This window comes from Homo sapiens, chromosome 2 (assembly GCF_000001405.40).
Source record: "Homo sapiens chromosome 2, GRCh38.p14 Primary Assembly".
NCBI classification, from domain to species: domain Eukaryota; kingdom Metazoa; phylum Chordata; class Mammalia; order Primates; family Hominidae; genus Homo; species Homo sapiens.
Window position 1 is genome coordinate 28508218 of NC_000002.12, and position 25115 is coordinate 28533332.

General features: G+C 44.2%; 1 protein-coding gene across 2 annotated transcripts in view; it reads left to right on the forward strand.

The window, feature by feature from the left end:
• Nucleotides 1-25115, forward strand: part of PLB1 (phospholipase B1) — a 148083-nt gene that overhangs the window by 12158 nt on the left and 110810 nt on the right. For both annotated transcript variants that reach the window (NM_001170585.2, NM_153021.5), the window contains exons 2-9: nt 8591-8652; nt 10249-10315; nt 11488-11546; nt 17050-17090; nt 17688-17728; nt 21100-21190; nt 21511-21562; nt 23891-23977. In NM_001170585.2, coding sequence (NP_001164056.1) covers nt 8591-8652; nt 10249-10315; nt 11488-11546; nt 17050-17090; nt 17688-17728; nt 21100-21190; nt 21511-21562; nt 23891-23977 — 500 coding nt within the window. The remainder of the gene's footprint in view (nt 1-8590; nt 8653-10248; nt 10316-11487; nt 11547-17049; nt 17091-17687; nt 17729-21099; nt 21191-21510; nt 21563-23890; nt 23978-25115) is intronic.

Sequence of the window (25115 nt, forward strand, 5' to 3'; positions counted from 1 at the left end):
TAGCCTTTGGCAGGTTTGCTAGCCTCTCTGGATCTAGTAAACAAGATGATCTTGAAGGCCTGCTCACCTCATCTCCTCTAGAATTCTGAGACATACATTCAGAGGTCAACCCAGCTACCTCAGAAGGGTTCTCTGCTCCCCATTCTCACCTTCCACTGGTGGCAGCACGTGACTGGCCAAGCACCACACTGACAGGACGCTGTGCTAACATCCTATACGCCTTAGAGCACCTGGAATTTTAATGGAGCAGTCAGCCAGGCATGACTCATGGTTTTCTGACTCAGCACCCACAGCTAGTCACATGCAGCACCTGCTCACAGGTCCATGCAGCATCCTACAGTCCCTATAGGTCACATAGGGTGACAGCTTACAGCCACCTTGTGCAGTGCAGCACATAGTCACCCACAGGACCTGCTTATCATTCAAAACCACACAGGAGATGACACTGGCTGACTTGGGCCCTCCCCTTCCAAGCTCACCAGCACAGCTCAGTGCTTAGTGGAGAGCAGTGTGGTCCACACCCTTGCTGGTGTGGTCTGCATGCACTTATGGCCCTCTGAGCCTGTAAAAATGCCAAAAGGGTCATAAACCCTGCCCCTAAGGTCACAGTGAGAGCATTACAACTTTTCAAAGAGCCCAAGAATTTAATGTGCACTGAAGAGTGACCTCAGTGCCACATGAGTTGGCCTTGAAAGTCCTCCCTGATGCCTAGGAGATGCTTCTTCCTTTCATCCAGGGAGACAAGTCACCTCTTCCCTGTGTATGGCCCTCTCTCACTTACACAACCCTTTCCAGTTCTTTGATCCTCATAACGACCTCATGAAGAAGACAGGGAAGCTAGTCCTATTTGCATTTTATAGATGAGGAAGTCAATGTTCAGATAGATTAGATGCTTAATCAAGGTCATGAAATGGCTGTATTCCCTCAAGGAAGGGACAGGGGCTAGAAAATTGCACTCCAGACACATCATAAGTATACGAACATCAAGGAAATCCATAAATTAAGAGAGCATGCCCTGCTTTAATTTTGCTTTTGAAATCACCCCACCCGTATGTGGCCAGCTGTTGGACTAACACACATTGGGTTTCCTTGTAGAGTCAGGCTCTTAACCTTGGAAGCACGTGAACATTACTGGAGGGGCTTTTAAAAACTCTGGTGCCCAGCATACCCATGCCCCACCAGGCCAGTCAAATCTGAGTCTCTGCATTTGGGGGCTAGGTAGCAGGTGATGGGCTGAGAGCCACTGCTTTAGAAGGTAAACCCCTAAGGGAGAAGCACATGTGGTTTTACCTTGTCAAAGCCTGATGTCTCCATGGTGCTTTGTTGGTTCCAGACCCCAGTGGTCACAGCCCTGTCCAACTTGGATGACTGATCTCGGCCAAACCTGTTTCTCAGAGCATACACAAGTGTTTTTTTTCTTGCATTCCCATCAGGATAGAAAAGTGCTTGTTTTTTTCCCCTGACTGCCCTGACTCTGGTGGGAATTTTTCAGAGAGTTCAAAGCCCTTCATATATCCATGGGCTTGATGTCAAAACAACCTTTCAAAAGGGGAGAGTTCCCTTGGGATTCCATGATTGGGGTTTGATGATGCCACAGTGCTTCAATAATTTCTTCCACAGCACCTTGGGGTACTGTGGGAACAGGCACTGTACCTGGTGAAAGCAGAGAAGTAGATTGACGGCCCATGTCGCTCCAAGGGTTAGTGGGGCCAGAAGTGAGAGGCACCAAGTTTCCCTTTGAATCTTCAGGTCTGGACGCTTAACATTTAGATCCCAGGAACGCTTTATTGTGACACCCCAGAGCAGTTATCATGGATGACTCACATCATCAAGGTAAAAACATGAACTCCTGAGCATTTAGTTATGTGAAGAAATCCCAGAATATTGAGGCTGAAAGGATCTAAAAGATGGTCTATGCTGAAATTATAACTAACAATTACTGAGTTCTTTCCATGAGTCAGACACTGTGCTGGATGTTTACATGCATTTAATCCTCACGCAACTCCATGGGGCAGGTATTATCAACCTCACCTTATAGGTGAGGAAAGTAAGGCTTGGAGAAGTTGATCAGACTAAGGATTTCCAAGCTCTTAACCTCTGCTTGCTGTATGTGCCACATGTTCACGATCACCACTCTCTGCTTGGACCAGTGCCCTGGCAGCCCATTCTTGTTTGGGTAGCTCCAGCTATTCTGCCAAGGGGCAGCTTGCTTCCACTGGTCTAGTCCTGGTTTGAGAGCCACATGGAGCAAGGCCAGCCCACTTGGCATCCAACCTATCAGATCCTGAAGGAAGTTCTCATACACCCTCCTCAGCTTCTGTTTAAATAAAATATCTATGTTTCAATTCACCCTACCTTTTTTGTGTTCTTTACTCCTGATTGTTTTTTCTTTTTTCTTTTTCTCTCTCTTTTTTTTTTTTTTTTGAGATGGAGTCTCACTTTACCACCCAGGCTGGAGTGCAATGATGTGATCACGGCTCACTGAAACCTCAAACTCCTGGGCTCAAGTGATCCTCCTGAGTAGCTGGGACTATAGGCATGCACCACCACACTCAGATAATTGTGTGTGTGTGTGTGTGTGTGTGTGTTTTGTAGAGACAGGGTTTCACCATGTTGCTTAGGCTGGTCTTGAATTCCTGGGCTGGAGTAATCCTTCCACCTCGGTCTCTCAAAGCATTGAGATTACAAGCATGAGCCACTGTGCCTGGCCTTCACCTGATATCTTGCCTCCTTTAGGATTAAGTATTTTTATTGTTTAGGTTTCACCACCTCATCCTGCCCAACACTAGCTTGTGGATTATACAATTTTTATCATTATTTTGGTGTTTAAAGTGATAACATGCACCCTTGACTTATTAAAGTCTAATATAAATCAGTACTTTTACCACTTGATAAGGGGAAAATCTTATAACAGTTTAACTCCATTTATTCCATCCAAATCTGCCCACAAAGCAATTTGTTTCATGTCTTTTAAACTCCAAAATATATTATTTTTATTTATATTAGGGTTGGCAAACTTTTTCTGAAAAGGTTGTAAATATTTGAGATTTTATGAGTCACATATATTTTCTATCACATTCTTTGTGTTTTTTTTTCTAATGACACTTTAAAAATTTAAGAATGATTCTTGTCTAGAGGGACATATAAAAATAGGCTGTGGGCAGATTTGACTTATGGGTCATAGTTGGCTGGTCTCCAGTTTGTACAGTAAATATTATTTTAGGTTTACCTACATATTTATTCTTTCTGTACTTCATTCCTTTTTACATCACCAACGTCCCAACTGGGATCATTTTCCTTTTCCACTGCCTTTTGCCTTCCATTGTTGCTGTTGAGAAGTCAGGCTGATCTTAATATTGGTCTCCTGTACTCGAAGAGTTTTACTCCTGCTGCTTTCAAAATTTTTCTTTGGTTTTAGAACTACACCTAGATACATAGACTATTATAGTTGATGTGTCTAAGTAAGATTCTCTGTGCTTATCCTACTTAACGTTCTTTCAGCTTGTTGAATCTGTGGTTTGATATTTTTCATCAAATGTGGGAGGTTTGGGAAGTTTTCAGCCATTTTATCTTTTTTTTTTTTTTGAGATGGAGTTTTGCTCTGTTGCTCAGGCTGGAGTGCAATGGCATGATCTTGGCTCACTGCAATCTCTGCCTCCTGGGTTCAAGTAATTCTCCTGCTTCAGCCTTCCAAGTAGCTGGGATTACAGGCACCTACCACCGTGCCTGGCTAACTTTTTTTTTTTTTTTTTTAGTAGAGATGAGGTTTCACCATGTTGGCCAGGCTGGTCTCAAACTCCTTACCTCAGGTGATCCACCCACCTCAGCCTAGCCATTTTATCTTTAAATCATTTCCTGCCCTCCCCCCACCCATCTCTCTCTCTCTTCTTCTTCTGGGGCTCATATTACATGTATGTTTTTATGTTTGACACTGTCCACAGATCTCTTAGGTTGTTATTCTTCAATCTTTTTTCCTCTGTATTTTTTAGAAATATACTTACTATCTTTAAGTTTACTGATCTTTTATTCTGTTATCTCAAGCCTGCTACTGAGCCCACCTAGTGAATCTTTCATTTCAGTTAGTGTACTTCTCAACTCCAGAATTTCCATTTTATATCACTTCTATTTGTTGTCATTGTCTTCATGGCTGTATTTAATTCTTCAAATACATATAATAGCTGCTTTGAAGACTTTGCCTGTGAAATCCAACATCTGTGTCAACTTAGTTTCCATTGATTGCCTTTTTTCTTCATCTGGGACTGGTGTTTCATGTCAAGCCATGCCTGGTAACTTTTGTTTGAAGACTAGACATGTTTGATCAAACATAGCAATTCTGGATTCTGTTTTTATTTTTCTGAGGGTCGTCAATTTGTTTTTTAATAACTTGCCTGGACTTAAACTGTGAAATCTGTCTCTCTAATTGTGTGCAGCTAACCACTGATGTCTTTGCTCAGTTTTTTTTTCTTTCTTCTTTTTTTTTTTTTGTTGGCCTGGCATCCTAGGAGTCACCCTTGAGTCTGCATGGTTTAGTGGTCAGTCAATGATTTGCACAGAGGTTGTGCTCAAACACCTTGAGACCATAATGTTCTGTTGCTTGCTGTGTATGCAGGTTAGGGAATGAGCACGAAGTTGTAGCCAATTCTTAAGTCTCTCTTGGTTTTAGATTTACATGTGGCTCTTTCAGTCTTTCTGGCACATACATCAATTTCCAGTTACTCAGGGAATATGTGAGGAGCATATCTCAGTACTTCTTATTTCCTAGATTGCCCCATTAAATTTCTGATTGGACCACCTCTTGCTGTAACTGGGTACAAAACATGAGCTGGAAAGATTATGGATTTCCTTCATTTATTTCCATATTAGTCCACTGCTTTTCACTAATCTGTTGTCTGTTGTGTTTTTAAATTTTCTCTTGACTATGGTTTATTTAATGTTGTCTCCTGGTAATTTTTTAATGGAAAGCCAGGCATTGTATATAAAAGATAATTTTCATGCTCTGGCTGGTAGTATTTTCATCCATATAGGTTTTCCTTTTGCTTTTGGCAGGCAGTTAGGGAGGAACAGATCACTTTTATCTAATCAGGAATCAAACTTATTCAAGTCTGGTCTTTAGACTTTTTACAGATCAGCGCATTTCTAGTTTATCCCTACTCCAAAGGTCTGTTTTAAGTCCCACTTGAAAGCCTGGGATATTCATCAGGGTCCCCCCTCCTCAATGGGTGCCAAACTCAGTGTTTTCCCCCAGTTCCATTGAACTGCCTGAAGCTCTGCTCAGTGTCTTAGCCTCTTGGCTGCTGATTTCTGTTGCTCATGATTTGACAAATGCTTCAAGGATAAAACTGGTATCAAATGCTGAGCCCACTCTCTGTACTTATTTTCTCTTTGGGGTCCTGACTTCTCAAATTCTTGCTACTTTTATAATTTTGAACAGACACTTGCACGCAGGCACACACACATACACACCACACAGAGAGTGTGGGAGTGCCTAACAGAATGCGGGAGTGCAGCAGAAAAAATAAAAGACCTAGAAGATTCCATTACAGTTTTAGGAAAAGATGTGGGGCTCCACCTGTTGTCTTCAGAAACATCCTCTTTTGAGCCCTATTAAAACCTTTGAATTCCGGAGTCAGCAGTAAACTCTGGACCCAGCCCCAACCCTCTAAACAACATTTAAAACTCTTGCTGCTATAAAATTATACTAATAATGCCATCTATTTCCCTGGATTGTTTTGATAATCAAATGAGAGCATCTTTCATCATAATTAATGTATTTCAACATATACTTTGTACAGGCACTGGGTTAGATCTTCTGCTTATTTAATTCATTTTTTAAAACTTAATAGTAGAGTGCTGAGTATATTAGCTGTCATAAAATTTGTTTTAGAATGCTACTATTTAAAGAAGGGGTCCAAAAGCTTTTGAGGAGTGATTTTCTTTTAATTAAAAAATTGTTGTTCCAGCATCATTTGTTGAAAAGACTGTCTCTTCTCTGTAATATTGCCTTTGCTCCTTAGTCAAAGATCTGTTGACTCTATTTAAGTGGGTTTATTTCTGGGCTCTGTATTCTGTCTCATTGATCTAGTTGGTTATTCTTTTGCCAGTCACACTGTCTTGATCACAGTAGCTTTATCTTCAATCCTGGAGTCAGATAGTATCAGTCTTCTAACTTTGTTCTTCTTCAATATTGTGTTGGCTCTTCTAGGTCGTTTGCCTCTTAATATAAATTTTAGAATCAGTTTCTTGATATCCACAAAGGTTTCTACGTCTTTTAATGGTTCCAAAAAATAAAAAGAATATTTTGTGATGCATGAAAATTATATGGAATTCAAACTTCAGTCACTATAAATAAATTTAATTTGTTTACATGTTGTCCATGGCTGCTTTCATACTACAGCAGCAGAGTTGAGTAGTTTCAATAGAGACCATATGGTGAGTAAAATCTAAAATATTGACTTTCTGGCCCTATATAGAAAAAGTCTGCTGGCCCTGGTCTAGACCTTGGGCATGTGGCTTACACTTAGCTTCTTGATTACAAGCATGGCTCATGGAGTCAGATGAGCCAGACTGCCTGTTTTCAAAGCCCACCATCACCATTTGCTAGCAATGTCATCTTTTTCTATTTTTATTTTATTTTTTTATTTTTTTAGAGATGGGTTCTCATTATGTTGCCCAGGCTGGTCTCAAATTCCTGAGATCAAGCAGTCATTCCATTTCCACTTCCCAAAGTGCTGGGATTACAGGCATGAGCCACCATGCCTTGCCACCTTTAAAAGGCCATTTAACCTTTTGGGGCCTCAGTTTTCTGTCTGTAAAGTGGGGATGATGATATTTATCTCATAAAGTTGTCATGAGGATTAAATGAATTAGTTCACATAAGTGCTTAGAACAGTGCCTGGCACATAGAAGCTGTATTTGTGTTGGCTACCATTTACATTTTTATCCTGGCTTAGAAAGAAAATTACCAAAATAGTCTCAAATCTCTGCCCTGCTAACTCCTCTATTCCACTCCCCCTGGAGTGATGATCACCTTAAAATCATCTCTTCAGAGACTGGTCACAGCTCCCTGTTGCTCATGGACTAGCCTGGCATTTGTGGCTCCCCAGCCCAGCTACCATCTGTCTGTGCAGCCTCATCCCCCCTGCCCACCACTTCCCTGGCCTCCAGTTACAAACACCTATGCCAGCCTTTTCCAGCACTTTGTGCTTGTCCACACTTCTATGCCTTCCCGTCATGTGGCCCTTTCTGCCCAGAAAGCTTGCTTCTGGGAATTTCAAAGGAATCGCTGCGATCTGGAGGCGGATTCCAGTCATCATTCCTTGTGCAAGCTCTAATGTGGAAATCAGTGCCTGATCTCACAGTGGGCATAAAATGGACATATACTGTTGTTCTTCATGAAACTCTAATAAATTATTTTCAGGGTCAAAAAGTAAAGCTGCAGAAGAAGGCTGTGGTGGAAAAGAAATCAATCCCTGTTGCCCAAGTCAGGCTTCCTTTTGGCATTGCTAATGTTGTTTGGGGGTTCTTGTATCGCATGCGCTTATAAGGAAGATGTACCCTGGGCAGGCATTGGGTGGGGAGAAGTCAGAGGAAGTAAGGTACCCTGACCTCTGATTAAATCTCAGTATCATTAATGTATTGTGTAGCTATTGAAATAAGCATCAAAATTATGTAACAACATTTAAAATGCTCATGATACGTCAAAGGAAGTTTGCAGGATACAAATTTGCATGCACACAGATTATAACTGAATAAAACATGTGCCTGACTATGGTCATGAAAAAATGAACAAACAAAATCACTTTTGATTGTAAGAGGCATAGCATTGTGGGTGTTTTTTTCCGCTTTTTAAATTTAGGGTGCTGTTAATTTAAAAATACTATAATTTGTGTAGATAAAAAACATGGGAAAACTTATCTACGTGTACACTTAAAATGAATTTAATTTATTGTAAGTCAATTACACTTTTAAAAAGTAAAAAATAATAAATGTTTTTAAAGACTGACCAAAAGTAAGCTGGGACAAGGACAGTGGCTTTGCCATCTCCCTACCTGCCTTTTCTTCCCCTTACTCCTCACGTTCAGCAAGACCCCTCGATACAGCCCCTGTCCAGGTACTTAGTACAGTCATGGCTGCTAGGAATCCTGTGATTAGCTCTTCTCCTAAGATCACATTACCCTTCAAACTATTTTATAATGTCCTTTGCCTTCCCTGCTTTGTCTTGGATCTGCAACAACAGTAACTGTTTGTCTGACATTACCTTCTTTGTGGGTTCTGCCCTTTGCCAAGGAGCCCAAAAAGCAATCTGTGATAATGTGCTTGTGCATGATATAATGTTATTGCTGACCCCTCCCAGATAACACTTTTGCTTTTTCACCTGGGGATTCTGCCCTAATGGGTTGTGTTAATGGAAGCACGGTGTCCCACACAATGGAGGGGATAGCTGGACAAATAGAATCTGGGCTTCCCTAACACAGTGGACATTACTGAGCTGGGCACACAGATATGGCTAGGAGGAAGGGCATGAAAGCTACAAATTTGGGTGGGAGTTAATTCCAGCTAAATAACTTGAACTATTTCTGCTTTCTTTCAGGGACCCCTCAGATCCATACCTCTCCTAGAAAGAGTACATTGGAAGGGCAGCTATGGCCAGAGGTAAGGGCTTTGGCTGGTGGGAGGTGCGTGTGTATGGAGGGGAGAGGGAGGATTTTCCTTGTAGTGGGTAAACCCAAGTTTTGGTGCAAGTTGACAGGCCCCTTCCTGAGGCCTTGAGGGAATGGGCTGGATGAACCGCTTCCCCCATGGACAGCCGGGGTGTCCGGCAGAGTGTGTGTCCTGGAATTTGGAGCTCATCATCCCTGCAGACTGAATGGGCGGTTCCCAGAAGTGTCCAGAAGGAGTTATAAATGGGCTTGTTATCTCCATGAACCTTGAAGCAGATGTTGGGAGTTATCTGAAGGAATCTGGGTGAGGTCTTCCCAGAACATCCATAAGATAAGAGCTGAGAGTAAATGCTGTGGTTTCTTACCGTAATCAGTACTTCAAGAGAAACTGTGTTTTCTTGTGAAGTGAGATGTCCTCAATCACCTCATTTACTGCATGTTTTTCCCTATTGGAGTATTCCCCCGCTTCCACTCTCAATTTTTGGGGGAAAAGACACAATCTCACTTCCCAGAGCCTTCCATGGTATTCACAAAAGCAGAAGCTGCCCCGGACCCAGTACCAGCAGCTGAGGAGGTCCAAGTGGTCTTGAGGACCTGAGTACTGGTCACCAATTCCTTCCTCCAGGCTCAGGACACTCTGGTAGGGACATGAGAGTCTCCCAGTTTCAAGTGTACCCAGTTTTTGGCAACAAATAAACATAATGCCTCATATACTTAATTTTGTATAAGTTATCAAATTAAAAGATGGTAAGTAGGTAAATATAGCATGGAATATAAAATAAATATAAAACGGGATTGATTATTTTTTCTTGTTTTAGTCAAGGTATCTTGAGTCTTAATTACTTCTTTTCCTGAGTCTTAATTACTTCTTTTCACTAGTAAAATATATACAAAAGTTATCATTTTAACCATGTTTGAGTGCACAATTCAGTAGCATTAAGTACTTTACATTACTGTGCAACCATCACTGCCATCCCTTTCTAGAACTTTCTCTTTTTTTTTTTTTTTTTTGAGACAGAGTCTTGCTGTGTTTGTTGCCCAGGCTGCAGGGCAGTGGCATGATCTCAGCTCATGGCAGCCTTCGCCTCCCGGTTCAAGTGATTCTCGTGCCTCAGCCTCCCAAGTAACTGGGATTACAGGCACACGCCACCACTAATTTCTGTATTTTTGTATTTCGTATTTTTAGTAGAGACAAAATTTCGCCATGTTAGCCAGGCTGGTCTCAAACTCCTGATCTCAAGTGATCCTCCTACGTCAGCCTGCCAAACTGTTGGGATTATAGGCATGAGCCACCGTGCCCAGCCCCATTTCTAGAACTTTCTCATTCTTCTTCATCTTTCTTCCCTCTCTACTCCACTGTTCTGAGGCATTCTTGCCACCTGTTAAAGTCATTGTCAATAGACTTATGTACGCTTTTACCAGATGAACTGGGTATGGGGTTAGGAGAAAATGACTATGGGCAATTGTTGTTTCTAGATTTTGAGCCTAGATAGAATGAGTACATGATCATTTCTACACCAAGTTTTCAGGACCTGCAATATTTCTATACAAGGCAGTTGATGTTTCTGATGTTCGTTTTCAATTGCAGACCCTGAAGAATTCTCCATTCCCATGCAACCCAAATAAATTAGGAGTGAATATGCCTTCTAAATCAGGTATGTAACCCTTGGCCATGAGCAGGAAAAGCCTGGCGTTTTCTCTCTGAAGTGGCCAGCAGAGGCTCTAACCCTATTCTTCTTGGACCTGTTGCCCCTTCAAGTCCTCCTCTTCCTTATCCTCAGTCCCTCAGTGTGACAGATGATTTCCCAGTCATCTGTCATATTTCCACAGTGGCTTGCTTGGATGAGGGTAATCTCCAGGATCTTGCCTTCCTGTGGGTGGATGGTGTTGTGGGAACTGTGAGTTAGAGCTTGGCCATTCATGGGGCTTCCCTATTCTTGTAATGTAGTACAATGGCAGCTCTGGACCTTTTTCCCCACAATGGGCTGGGTTTGTCTAATGACCTGGATGCTATGAATTCTCTTGAGTGGGCCTTCTTCCCTGACTTTATCATATTGAGAGGCTGCATTACAGACCAGACCATATTTAATAGATTTATGTTTGTACTATTCTGCCTTGACTGGGGTTTCCAGTTAAGCATGCTATTCTTACTGTTATATAAGGACTTTAGGTTGAAAAAGAAATTGATGCACTTTTAAGGAAATGTCTTCTTTAGGTGGCTTACATGTAAATGATCTATAACGTGACCAGGGAGTATGATCAGTGATTTCTAGGGAGACTTCATTGCTAAAGATGCCAATCACTCAAGTGGGTCCAGGAGATTTCCACTTCCTTGTGTGGCATTTGCATACAGCTTGCATCTGGTGTGGATATGTGTTCACAGGCTTTGAATGCTATTCTCTGGCAATCTTCAAGCTAAAGTGATCCTTTTGGTAACCAGGTGGTTTTATTCTTAATGTGTTGTCCTCTCATTCGTGGTGGCCCAGAAATGCAGGACTGTGGGACAGAAGGAAGTGAGAGGCAGAATGGGGTCCAGGTGAGGGGAAAATGAAGGCCATGAGTGACCTTCCATGGGTCACCTGTTTGGACAGCTCAAGTCCAGTTAACAGTGTGGCTCCCAGAGGGGAGCGGGTGTCTTTCTGGCAGGATTCCTAGGGTTCCCAGGCACTGCCTGGTCTTTGGCATTCCACTTCCATGGCCAACAGACTGGACCTCCGCAGCTGTCCAGGGGCTGGGGAATGTGAGTCTCCTCTCCCATACGGTATCCTTGGCCGACATCATGGGGAATGTAGATCTGACCTTCCTATATGGGTTCTTGTCTCCACAGTTCACTCTCTGAAGCCTTCTGATATTAAATTTGTGGCAGCCATTGGCAATCTGGAAATTGTGAGTATTTGAAGTAGCTTGGGGCAGGAGACAGAGTTTGGTACTGATGATCCTCTGAATGGGCTCCTGGTAACTGGGCAGAACGTTTCATTTTGGGAGAGAACATCATGTGAACTAGATAAATCCAGGAGGTTGAATCTTTTTATTTTTATTTTATTTTATTATTTATTTATTTATTTATTTTTGAGACAGTCTCACTCTGTCACCCGGGCTGGAGTGTAATGGCGCAACCTTGGCTGACCACAACCTCCGTTTCCCGGGTTCAAGTGATTCTCCTGCCTCAGCCTCCCGAGTAGCTGGGATTACAGGCATGCGCCACCATGCCTGGCTAGTTTTGTATTTTTAGTAGAGACAGAGTTTCTCCATGTTGGTCAGGCTAGTCTCGAACTCCTGACCTCAGGTAATCTGCCCGCCTTGGCCCCCCAAAGTGCTGGGATTACAGGCGTGAGCCACTGCGCCCAGCCGAATCTTTTTTTTTTTTTTAAATCAAATGAATGCCTCTCTTTACATCAAGGTGAGGAAACTTTTGGGGTTTCCCATTAATAAATTAAATCCATTAATACATTAAATCAAAGATCACACAGAATTTTAAAAGTAATCTTTTAAATTTTTTAAGATAAATTTTCTTACCTGATTTGTAAATTTTTAAAAACACACCGATCTTTGTAAATAACTTTTTAAATTTTGTTTGCAATTGTGGTAAATACATAGAACACAAATTTACCATCTGTAAGTGTATAGTTCACTAGTGTTAAATATATTCACGTTATTGTGCAACTGATCTCCAGAACTTTTTCATTTAGCAAAACTGAAACACTCTACCCATGAAATAACATCTCATTCTCCTCTTCTCACAGCCCCTGGCAACTACCATTCTACTTTCCCTCTCTGTTTTGGCAGTTCTAGGTACCTCATATAAGTGAAATTGGCCAGGTGTGGTGGCTCACACCTGTAATCCCAGCATTTTGGGAGGCTGAGGTGGGCAGATCACTTGAGGTCAGGAGTTTGGGACCAGCCTGTCCAACATGGTGAAACCCCATCTTTACTAAAAATAGAAAAAAATTAGCCGGGCATGGTCGTGGGCACCTGTAATCCCAGCTACTTGGGAGGCTGAGGCAGGAGAATCGCTTGAACCCAGGAGGCAGAAGTTGCAGTGAGCTGAGATCATGCCATTGCACTCCGGCCTGGGAAACAAGAGCAAAACTCTGTCTTAAAAAAACAAAACAAAAAAGAAATCATACACTTAATGTTTCATATAAGTGAAATCATACAGTATTTGTCTTTTTGTGACTGGCTTCACTTAGCATAATGTCCTCAGGGTTCATCCATATGCCAGATTTCCCTTCCTTTCTTAAGGATGAATGCTCTTTCCTTGTATATCTAGATCAGATTTCATTTATTCATTCACCCGTCAGTGGACACTTGGGTTGCCTCCACCTCTTGGCTGTTGCAAACAATGCTGCTATGAACTTGGGTGTACAAATATCTGTTCAAGTCCCTGCTTTCATTTCTTTTGGATATATACACCCAGACGTGGGATTGCTGGACCATATAGTAATTCTATTTTTAAAACTCTTTGAGAAATCACCACACTATTTTCCATAGTGACTGCACTATTTTATATTCCCACCAACAGTGCACAAGGGTTCTAATTTCTCCACATCCTCACCAATGCCTGTTTTCTGGGGTTGGTTGGTTGTGGTTGGTTGGTTTTTAATAGTAGGCATCCTAATGGGTATGAGGTGATGTCTCATGGTGGTTTTGATTTGCATTTCCCTGATGATTAGTATGTTGAACATCTTTTCATGCACTTGTTGTTAATAAATTCTAAGTGGTATATTTTATTTGGTCAAATAAGGGAGAAAGAAAGAAAAAGACAAAAGGAGAAAGGGATGAACAGAGAAAGAGGGATCTGGATAGAAGAAGGTAGGAGAGCAAAGGAGAATGTCAGCATTTCCCCACAGCCCCTCTCCTGGTCTTAGCAAAGCTCCACAGCCTTGCTGCCCCCGATCTCAGCAGCCCCAGCTGGATAGAACACTTCCTTATCAGTCTCCACCCTGCTCAGAGCCCTACTGTACCTCCCACGCCTGAACCAGGATACTCTTTCTCCCCCAGAGCCTCCCTCCCCACTCCGCCTCCCATGATTCCTTCCCAGCATCCTCCCCCATCCCTGCAGCAGCCTGCACTCCCTGCAACCTCAGCCCCTTCCCCTTGTAGCTGCAAGCCCCAGCCCACCACTCCATGCACAGTGCCAGTCCACTCAATGTCCCCAGAGACCTTGGACCTGTCTTCTACCTTCTCCTCATCTCAAATAACCAGTTTCTACCTCTCTGGAACTTGGCTTGGACTCCCTGCCCTAGACAGTGTTAGCCTCACCACATTTATCAATGCCACCTCTGCTTGAGCACTGGATGAAGCTGGCCAGACCTAGAACTTCACCCTGATCACAATTGTAAATGAGGGAAATGGGTATAACAGAAAGAAGGGTGAGGAGATGGTGGTGTGTAGAGGTATAGACTGAACCTTAGGAAACCAACTGTAGGCCCACTGAAAGCAGGCAGAGCTCCCCACCCGCATTCTCTCTTATCGATGCTGATGGTTTTTAAATTGCACTTGTGACTGTGGTGTTGGTCAGGGTGGGGGTGGAGGGTTACCCTTGATAAGAGGTGAAATTGGATGGAAATAAGTGAGAAAAGAGGTTTCATGTCCCAGATAGCAGGCTGACTTTGCTACACCTGTGTGTCTGTGCACACCGATATTTACATCCCAGAGCCCAGGATGTGGGACACACTTGCCACAGGACTCTCGGGTCCTTCTGCCTGGGGCAGGGAAATCTCCGCCCAGCGTTGGTCTCTAACTTTAAGCCCGTCAGTGACTTGCACTCCTTGGTCTCATCTCGGAAAGAGCTCTTTGTCCATGAATTATTCAGGGCTGACAGCTCCTGCTGTCACTCGGCCCCCCCTTCTCAGGAACACGACTCCATCAGGATGACCTCCCAGCCCCAGGATCATTGTCTGTGCACTGACGGGTACCTCGAACTTCAGGATAAAAACCTGAAAGCACAATTCCTTGCAAGCCTTCTTCCGCTGTCTGTCCTAAGAGAGAGAGGGCCATCATGAACTTACCTGGGGTGTGTATTTTAAAAGCTAGACCAGGGCAAAATAATGGAAGACAGTGAATTTAAGAAGAAAAAAGTCCATAGTGCTGACATCTCTGCCTTGAGTGCCTGGAGCATTCTGTAACCTAGGTATACGCACTTCTTTGGAACTACAACTAGCATTTGTTAATTGCTATAGACCCCCTTTTCCTTGTAGAACTTCAAAAATCAGTTATGTAAATGTTTGTAGAAGTTCTGCAAATAACACTTGTGACACATGTTCAATATAAGAAAAAACAGATGTACGCACAATAGAAGACCCTGTTCACATCTTTTATTCCTCTACCTCAACAAACATACACACGTGCACACACATATATACATTCTCATTCTCCAATGTATAGCAATACATAGGGAAATAGGGTGTATATATAAAACCTAAATAGGGTCATACTGCAATATCTTATCTGCGAGGTTTTTTTTTTTTTTTTTTTTTTTCTAACTCAGTGTCATAGATATTTTTCCTTGCCAAGGAGGTTACAATTCACTCTATCAAATTCCTTGAGGGTAGAGCCTGTGTCTTACTTAGCTTTGCAGCCCCAGGGTCACAGTATCTGCCATAAGGCACACATTCAGCAAACAAAGAGTGTGAAGGGAAAGTGGCTGGGAGTGGGCACGATGGGGACGTGGAGTTTGCTGGGTTAGCCACAGCCTCCCCTCTCTGTGGCTGCCCTCTGAGCCCTTCCCCCAACCCCCTCTCCTGGCCTTGTTCCTCTTATTCTCTCCTCTTTCCTCCCAACATCTCTCTTTACCACCCTCTCCTCCAATCAAGTTCATTTGCAGGGGAGGGGTGATCTATCAATTAATTACCAGAAGCAAATTGATGGTCCTAAGTGACGCTTTGTCTTTAATTGAATCAGCTGCCAACACTGAAATCAGACTTCAAGTAAGTGTTCACATTTCCAGCTCCTCTTGAAAAATGACTCTGGGGGGTGCCCCCTTTGCTTGGGCCCAGGCTGTCCAATTTGCCACAGCCCCAGGAGGCCTGCTCCCCTCATTACCTAACCTGTCGGGTGTCTTTTTAAATAATCCCTGACTTGTATCTTAGTGTGATTTGTTTGTCTCCCTGGGAGATTTATCTCCTGTCTCTTATTGAGGAGCAAAGGACGCTGTCTCCAATTAGTGAGATTTCCCAGTCAGCCTGTCCTACCTGGAGAGCTGCAGAGACGTGACCTAGGTCTATAGGCAGGTGCTCATTGTGGCTGGGTGGTCAGGACAGATGGGCCCTTTAAAGGGAAGTGGTGCAGGCTGGAGTAGGTGACGCGGTGTAGCTGTCTGCCTGTCACCACCACACCTGGAGATACTGTCTTCTAGGAATTTTGAGAGAGAAAATTCACATCAGAAACTGAAAATAATACAACCAAGGAGAGCTAAGATTTGCTAAGTATTTTATATGTCCTGGGCACAATTCCAAGCTTTCTGGGAGCTTACAAAAGGACGTGATTCCCAGTCAAGTTACCACGGTCTCAAATCTAGTCCTAGACTTAGGAACTTCAGCAGAGAGCTCAAGTCCTATGTTGCCCAGCATTTTACCAAGGGGGAAATCGGAAACTTACCTTGTTCGTTCCAAAAATATGGATTCAACATATATTTGTTAAATACTTACAACACACCCAGGCACTGTTCTAGGTCCAAGGAACATAGTTAAGTACAAAATGGACACATTCCTGCCTTCATGGCTCTTATGTCTAGTAGGGGGAGAGTTAAATAAATTCTAGATTTTGGAGGGTCATAATAAAACAATCATTTGTTTCTATGGAGAAAGTTAATGACTTTAGGGGGCATTGAAATCTAAGTGGAGGAAAACGTCCCACACCTTCCATCGCTCCAAGGTCTGACAAACATGCTGCAGAGGAAGCCAAGAACTTTTCCTCCCTGCAGAAGGAGCCTTCATCTTTCTCTGTAGGTTCTCTCTCTCTCTCTCTTTTTTTTTTTTTTTTTTTTTGAGACAGTGTCTCATTCTATGGCCCAGGCTGGAGTGCAGTGGCACCATCTTGGCTTGCTGCAACCTCTGCCTCCTGGGTTCAAGCGATTCTCCTGCCTCAGCCTCCCAAGTAGCTGGGATTATGGGCATGTGCCACAACACCTGGCTAATTTTTGTATTTTTTAGTAGAGATGGGGTTTCGTCATATTGGCCAGGCTGGTCTTGAACTCTTGATCTCACGTGATCCTCCCTGTGCTCAGCCTCCCAAAGTGCTGGGATTACAGGTGTGAGCCACCAAGCCTGGGCTTGTAGGTTCCCTCTTACTGGCAGGAGGGGGAGTTCTGACAGGCAGCTTGCGGTCTAACTAGAAGAGGCTCTGCCACCTCCCCTGGCTGGGTGTTAACATTGAGTATCTATTCCAGCCTCCAGACCCAGGGACGGGCGATCTGGAGAAGCAAGACTGGTAACTATCCTGAAAACACAGAAAACAGAAAGGAGCCCGGAGATGCTCCCATCTAATCTTCTTGCCTTATTAATGGGAAAGATTGGAGGCCAGGGAGGCTCAGTGCCTTGCTCAAGGCTACCCTCTGAGAAGGTAGCAGAGAAGCTCCCAGAACCCAGCCTCCTGCCTCCTTGTCTAACCCTTCCTCTGCCTGAGAACCCCAGTGGGTCCTTGGGGTGAATGAGGAGAAGTGGGAAAGGCTAATAGAGGGAGTGCTTATTTCTCCCCACAAGCTCTACTTGCTCTGCTCTTGGGGAACCATGCAGGGCTGGGGCCAGGCTCAGTCTCATTCTACCCTGGGGTCAGTTTCCCCTTGCAGCTTTGGACCAGATGAGAGCGGGTTGGAGGAGCGGAGGAGGGTCCAGAGAGAGCTGTTTTCCCCATTTTGGCTACTCCATGGCCACTTGAGGTGTGCCTATAACCCCTGGGAGGATAATCCCAGAACCAGAGCAAGGCTAGGCCAAAGACTACTATGAAATAGACCACAGCCAAGGGGAAGGGCTATTGGCAGGTGACACAAATGCAGCCTGACACTCACATGCCTGCTTCTACCTGCAGGACTGAAAGGCCACAGCAGGTGTGCATGGGAGTGATGACAGGTGAGTTGTGGTTTTCACGGCCAGATTTCAGAGTGCCCCTCTCCTTCCCAACACAGCAGCATCCTCTCTAATAAAGAGAATGGACACCACCAGCCACTTTATCACTGGAGCCCAGGAGAAAGGGGACGGTGTTCTGAGAGGACAGATCAGGAAGCCAGGATATGAAAAATCACAAACCCTGAATGGGGGTGTGCGAAATGTATCCAGGGTCTCTGGGCAAACAGAAGCCAGTGGGCATTGGGTTAAGATTGGGGAACCTAGGAGAGGGCTTAGGGGCCAGCTGGAATGGGTGTCGGGGCCAGAGTCCTGAGTTTCCTGCCCACCCAGACCCAGGGCTAGACTTCATCCAGGGAAAATGCCCGTGGTTCACTCCTCCCACCCAAGGGGAGGACCCAGCCGAATTTCCAGTCTATTTTATCCTGTAATATTGCCCTTGCTTGTAAAATACAAGACATCAGTTGGGTTCAGGCAAATGAAATGAAAAAAATAAAAGTCAACTATAATCCCACTATCTAGAGATAATTATTGTTAGCATTTTGGCCTTTTGATTTACAAATGTGCTTGCGAATATACTATCATAATTTAGTTTTTTTAAAATATAATATCAGAGATTCCTTATAATTCTGTTAAGTCACCCTGAAGTTAAGTCCTTTAACAGCAGCTGGGTCAGCCTAGCGGGATGTTAGTCTCCTATGCTTGGTGCTCATAAATCAAGAATAAGGGAAACCACTTCGCCGTCCGTATTAGAGCAAGAAGACGTAGATTACAATGCAAGTGCTCTGCTGAGCTGGTGCTCCATGGGAGTAATGAACAAGTGAGGCAGCTAGTGCCCTGTCAATTCAGCCAGTGAATTGAAAGGAGGGGCCCATGAATTGTTAGGTTCCCTGGAAAGCACAGGGATGAACAGGATGCTGGCCCTGCCTTACAGAACTCATGGTCCAGCAGGGAAGGTTGAGCCTGGCAGTTCAGCCCTCCTGGATCTGATTGACAGGTGAGAGGATGTTGGTGGCCAAAGCGGTAGGCAGGAGGGTCCCCTTGGAGAGAATCAAAGGGTTCTGAAAGGGGAGGCCCATTACCAACTCCGTGGCTATCACAGCTGTGCCTAGGCTTGGCCCTGTTTGTCTTGAAGTGGTAGGAAAAAAGAAGCGGCTTGTTTGGGGGGTGTCTGGGAAGATAGGATATAGTTTAGACCCTGAAGCCACAAATGCAGATGCCTCTTTGCCTAATTTCTCAGTTCGTCTCAATTTTTCCTCCCAATTTGCCCTGTTACAAGTCTGAGTGCCCCTCTCTAAGCAGAGGGGCCAGGAGTCCCAGCTGGCCAGAGGTCCCGCAGAAAGCAGGTGTGAGGGCAGATCTTGCTTCTGAAGCCCTCCGAGGCAGGCCTTACTCCAGCATACCCAATGGGGAAGGAGGGAGGAGTGGAGACCACAGCTGCAAGCTCAGCTGGGTGGCTGAGCCAGCAGGAGGAGCAGGTCTTCCCAGAAGAAAGTACTCTAGGGACATCCAGGCCTGTGCTGTGCAGCATGGGATGGGGCTGGCTCAGGCTCAGCCCACCTGACCATCAATCTCAGAACTTTAGAGGCCTCCTGATCTTTGAGATCTCCAAACGTAGCCATGCCCTCGCCCACCATGGCCATTTTGTGGGTGGCAAAGCTGAGTGTCAGGGAGGTAAATGGACTTTCCTGAGGCTATGTGCTCAGTAAGTGGCATGGTCCCTGTGAACCCAGCCCCACAGGCTGTGCCCTTTGTTCTCACCCCACTGCTGCCAGGGAACTTGGAGGCAGTGAGGACAGACCAAGTACACAGCAGACTTAAAACAAAATGACTGGCAAATTTACGTGAAAAGATCCAACGTCATGTTTGATCACAAAGCACTGACACAGGTACCTTTCATTCAGAAAGCAATCTCTTTCAGACCTATCACCAAATATTTGTATTTTGTCATTGATCCTTACAGACTATCCTCAGATGAGGGAGCAAGAGTACCCCTCACCCATGCACACATTCATGCTGTCCCTGTAAACCTGAACCCAGCTCAGAACTTTCCCCGCTTTCCCACTACAGGTGGAAAAGTGTTTCTTTGCAAGCCAATCGGGGGTTAGAGAATGAAGTTCATTATTTTGGGTTAAGGATGGGGAAAATTGAATCACCCACGAGTTAGGAGGCTGCCCAAGGTTGCAAAGCCAAGTGACCAGTCCCCTGACTTCCAGGCCAGCTCTCCCACCCGCACCCTGCCTGCTGCCTGCACAGTGTCAGCCTCCTTCACAGGGAGCCCCTTTAAAGCCACCTTCTGGATTCTGCTCCCAGGAAGCCCCGAGGCACTTCTGGATGGGGCAAAAAGAAAGGGGAGTTGGGGGGAGGAGTGGAGGCATCTGCCTCCCATGACACTCTCTCCCCGCTCTGCCCTCTTCCCTCTCAGGAGCAAGACACAACTTAACTGCTCCTGACAGCACTATTTTTAGCGGTCCTCTGGCTGTCAGCTCTGGGACATGTTCTCTGCATGTTCCCTGGAGCTTTCCCACCCTGCTGTCACTCTCAGGAGAAGGGAGGGGGGCTGGAAGGCAGCCCGAGTCCCTGTCCCAGCATCACTTTCTCTAATGAGGCAGTAGCACATGACAGTGAAAAGCCTTGGTGTCCCAGAACTCTGGTTCAAACCCCAGCAACCTCAGTTAGCTGTGAGACCCTGGGCAGCTCGCTTGATTTTTCTCAGTCTCAGTTTTCCCTTTCTCTAACTTGGAGATCATATTGCCCTGTGTTTGTTACTGAGGATTAAGTGAGATAACGCATGTAAAGCGCTTAGGACTGGGCCTGGCCTAGCATTTTATAGATGTTCATTTTTAGCTCCTTCACTTCCAGAGGCCTGCTCCAGAGGTACAGATAGCCTCACAGAGGCTACAGGGGTGGCCTCACAGTCCCAGGCAGGGTGTGAGGAAGGACCATGCCTTGGAATAGGGGCGGCGACCCCGGCAGCTCACCCTAGAGGAAGGGAGTCAGTCTTTTTTTTTTTTTTTTTTTTTTTTGAAATAGGGTCTTGCTCTGTTGCCCAGGCTGGAGTGCAGTGGCACAAACACAGCTCACTGCAGTCTTGACCTCCTGGGCTCAAGCCATCCTCCTGCCTCAGCCACCTAAGTAGCTATGACCACAGGTGAGCACCACCACACCCGGCTGATTTTTGTTTTCATAGAGACAGGGTTTTGCTCTGTTGCCCTGCCTGGTCTCAAACTCTTGGGCTCAAGTGATCCTCCTGCCTCAGCCTCCCAAGGTACTGAGATTATAGGCATGAGCCACCACTCCTGGCAGTAGGTAGGTCAGTCTTTAGAGGTGGCCTTCAGCTGGTGAAGGCCAGGGCCTCAAACCAGTTCTCTCTTTAGTCCTTTCAGACATCATCAGATATTTCAGTCCTTCTGTTCCAATGCCTGTGTGCCACACTGGAAAGAGAGTCATACCCCACGATGGTGCTGAGTAAGTTCCCTTTCTGTCTCTCTCTGAGGTTATGTGTTCCTACTGGTCTTCAACATATAGGTGGGAGGATTTGGGGGGCTGGCAAAGTCAAAGAGGCTTAAAAATAGAAGTATTTAAGTCAAAGCCCAAATGCCCCCTCAAGCTGATTTCAGGCTGCCTGATGAGCCTAATTTTGAAAAACAGGTCAATGCCCACCCTTCAGAAGCCAGGGGTGGATAAAGCTTAGAGACTGACACCTGAGCTATGGCAAGGGGCAAGCTTCCAGCCCTTAACAAAATAATATTTAGCCAATTTTTCTCTGTTTCCCTCCCTCTGCACAGAGACTTGTGGATTCAGGCTCAAGAACTGGTGAGAAACATGAAAGAGAACCTGGTAAGCATCCGTCCAACTCTGGCATGGCTGGGCTGCCTGGCTTTGCTGCAAGGCGGGCAGACCGAAGTGATGATGACCCTCGTACCATTTTACCATGAACTCGGCAACTAGTGTGACCTGGGTTCTTTAAAAAATGTCTCTGCCATTCTCTGGCGGTCATTAGAGGAAAGGACCAATTCTTTTTTGTTGTTGTTTATTTTTATTTATTTATTTATTTATTTTGAGACCAGTTATGAGACTGGCTAATTTTTATATTTTTGGTAGAGACGGGGTTTTGCCATGTTGCCCAGGCTGATCTCAAACTCCTGGGCTCAAGCCATCTGCCCGCCTCGGCCTCCTAAAGTGCTGAAATTACAGGACGAGTGATAATGCTCAGCCAAAAGGACCCATCCTCTTCAGAATGGTTTTCCTTGTGGTCGTGCTGAAAGTCAGCAGATGGACTAAATGACTTGTCCCACAGGGAGGTGGTGGAGAGCTTCAGTTCCAGGTGAGACTGGTTTGAGTTTGAATCTTGAATTCTCCATCTATTAGCTGTATGATGTTGGGTAAGGCACTTACCTCCCTAAACCTCAGTTTTTCTGTTTATGAAATGGGGTGATAAAAGAGCTGCAGCAAAGGGTTTTGGGAGCATTAAATGAGGTATTGGATGTGCCTGACACAGACTCAATACATAACAATGCAAGCTACAGGCTTTTATATTATTGTAGTGGCGATTGCTGTTATTAATAATTACCATATTAATTTTAGTTCTGAGTGTGGAGGCCTCTGTCACATACATGCTGGGTGCCTTGGTACCACTCTCCTAACAGTTCGTATACTATTTACTCGATAACCTATATAAATTTGTAATAAGCATCCTTAGATCTTTTGTGTTGCCCTTATGGGCAAGTATCAAACCAAGGCAAGCCTTGCTAGCAAACTGTATCTAACTAAGCACTGAGCCTGGACTGCTGGAACCAAGGGAAGCTGCTGTTTCAGCCAGCCATGCATGCATTAAAGCGTTCAGGAAGTGAAGTGAAGGTCATTCTAAGGCATATAAGGACAGGGATTAGAGCAGGAGCTACACCATAAAGTTTGTTTTCCTTGAACAGGAGAATTCCAGAATTTCTGAAATAATGATTATTCTATAAAATAGAGAAGAGATCCTGGGTCTAACCCTGTAATTTTCCAGATGAGGAAACTGAAGTTCCCAGAAGTCATGTGACCTGTGCAAGTTCACACGGCTAATTAGAGCCCAAATCTAAAGTGCCTGCTTCACAGTCCAGTGTTCCTCAACTACATCGTGCTGCCTCTTAAAAAGCAAAGTTTGTTTTCTGGTTACACAAGAAATGCATGTTCATAACCGAAAAAATCAGAAAACACAGATAAGCAAAAAGTAAAACCATCCTTAATCCTAATAACCCAAAGATAATTATGGTTAATAACTTGGTGTACATTACCTTCCATATTTTTTCCTAGCATATATATCTTTATATATTTTATAAAACAGGGATGTTACTGGATAAAGATGTTGTTTTTTGTTTTTTGTTTTGTTTTGTTTTGTTTTTTTGAGACAGAGTTTCGCTCTTGTTGCCCAGGCTGGAGTGCAATGGTGCGATCTCGTTTCATCACAACTTCCACCTCCCGGGTTCAAGTGATTGTCCTGCCTCAGCCTCCCAAGTAGCTGGGATTACAGGCATGTGCCACCATGCCCGGCTAATTTTGTATTTTTAATAGAGATGGGGTTTCTCCATGTTGGTCAGGCTGGTCTCGAACTCCCAACCTCAGGTGATCCGCCCAACTCGGCCTCCCAAAGTGCTGGGATTACAGGCATGAACCACTGCACCCAGCCAGAGATACTTTTTATAACCTCAAACAGATTTTCTCAACAGATTAGTTCCCATGATAATTACATTTTTCAGCATCATTTTAAAAGCTACATAGTGTTTCATCTCATGAGTATTCCACAGTTTACACAGCAGTCCCCTCTTTTGGACATTTATGTTGTTTCCAGTTTTTCCTTCTTATGCATAAGGCTTCATCATTGTAGCTGAATCATTCACGTATCCTTGTTTCCTTAAACTATATTTGGGGAAATGAAATAATTAGATCCAAATAATTAGATCAAAAGGTGTGTCTTTTAATTAAAAAAAAAGTTTTGGATATATTTTATCAATCTAGAGCAGTTATACCACTTTAAACTCCTGCCATATACTACTATTGAAAAAAATTCATACATGAGTTTTTCAGGGATGGGTGTATGAAATGGAAAGACATGAAAACAAAGACATTATTTTGGTTCAAGGTCTTAACACAATCTCCTTTTCATGCTGTTGCCCTTTTATTCAGCAACTTGACTTTCAATTTGACTGGAAGCTCATCAATGTGTTCTTCAGTAATGCAAGCCAGTGTTACCTGTGCCCCTCTGCTCAACAGGTAAATGGCAGCCTTGGGGACCAAGGGATTACAGATGCTGGGGTGGAGAGGGAGTGAACTAAACCTGCCTGATTACCCAATCCCCAGCTGTCAGGATGGGGCTAATGCCACCTATTTTAGAACATGGATGGATGGATGGATGGATGGATGGATAGATGGATGGATGGGCAGACAGACAGACAGTCACATACTCAAAGAAACGTACGCTTGAACAGGCGTTCTGTGGGTTTTATTGCTTCAATTTTTTTATTGTGATAAAATACACATAAAGTTGACCATCTTAATCATTTTAAGTGTACAGTTCAGTGACATTAGATAATTCATAATGTTGTACATATGACATGCATTCATAACTGTCACAAGGAACAGGTGTTTTTTACTTACCATCCCTCATATCAGGAAAAGGAAATAGAGGCATAGATAAGCTGAGTCAACAGTCATTCCGCAACTGAGAAAATTAGCGTCCTAGTTGGTTAAAAACTATCTTGCGTCTTAATTCTGATTTCATGTAAGTTCTGAATTTAGGAAATAAAGCAGGGTGCATACCATCCTCACCCCTTGGCCCATGAATTCTATTTGTGGTGGGAAAGCTGCTGTTTTATTGAAGTAGACTGTATCTTCCAAGTGCTTTGGCTTTTCTGGAAACAGGACATGAAGCGTGTGGTCTCGTTTATTATTTATGTAGGTGAATATCTATGACTTAAGTCTTTATTGAAGATCATTCAGATTAGGATCAGTTGAAAGTGTAAGGGGTGGTTTAGAAATCTAAGCCATGGTGAAATAAATGGCACCTGGACTCTTCTTCAGGATCCTGAAGACTGGCTGCTGCCACACTGTCCCTGCCACTTGTGGGACCAGCTTGTCCTCTTCGCCACCCTCCAGGCCAGGGCACAGGCATGGTGGAGCTTCTGGAGGTGGTGGTTTCTTTTCTGTGCCCCTCTCCTACAGTAGATACTCTTGCCTTCCTTCAAGTGCGCCACACTCCCACTGACTCCAGGCTCACCGTCAGAACTCCCCTTCCTTTAGTGATGTCAAGCCTTGGAAGAACATTGATGGAAATCCACCTTCCTGACTAGCTCTCATTGGCCAATATTCCTGTAGCCTTCCTGGGTTTTTAGCATATAGATAATGAAGATTT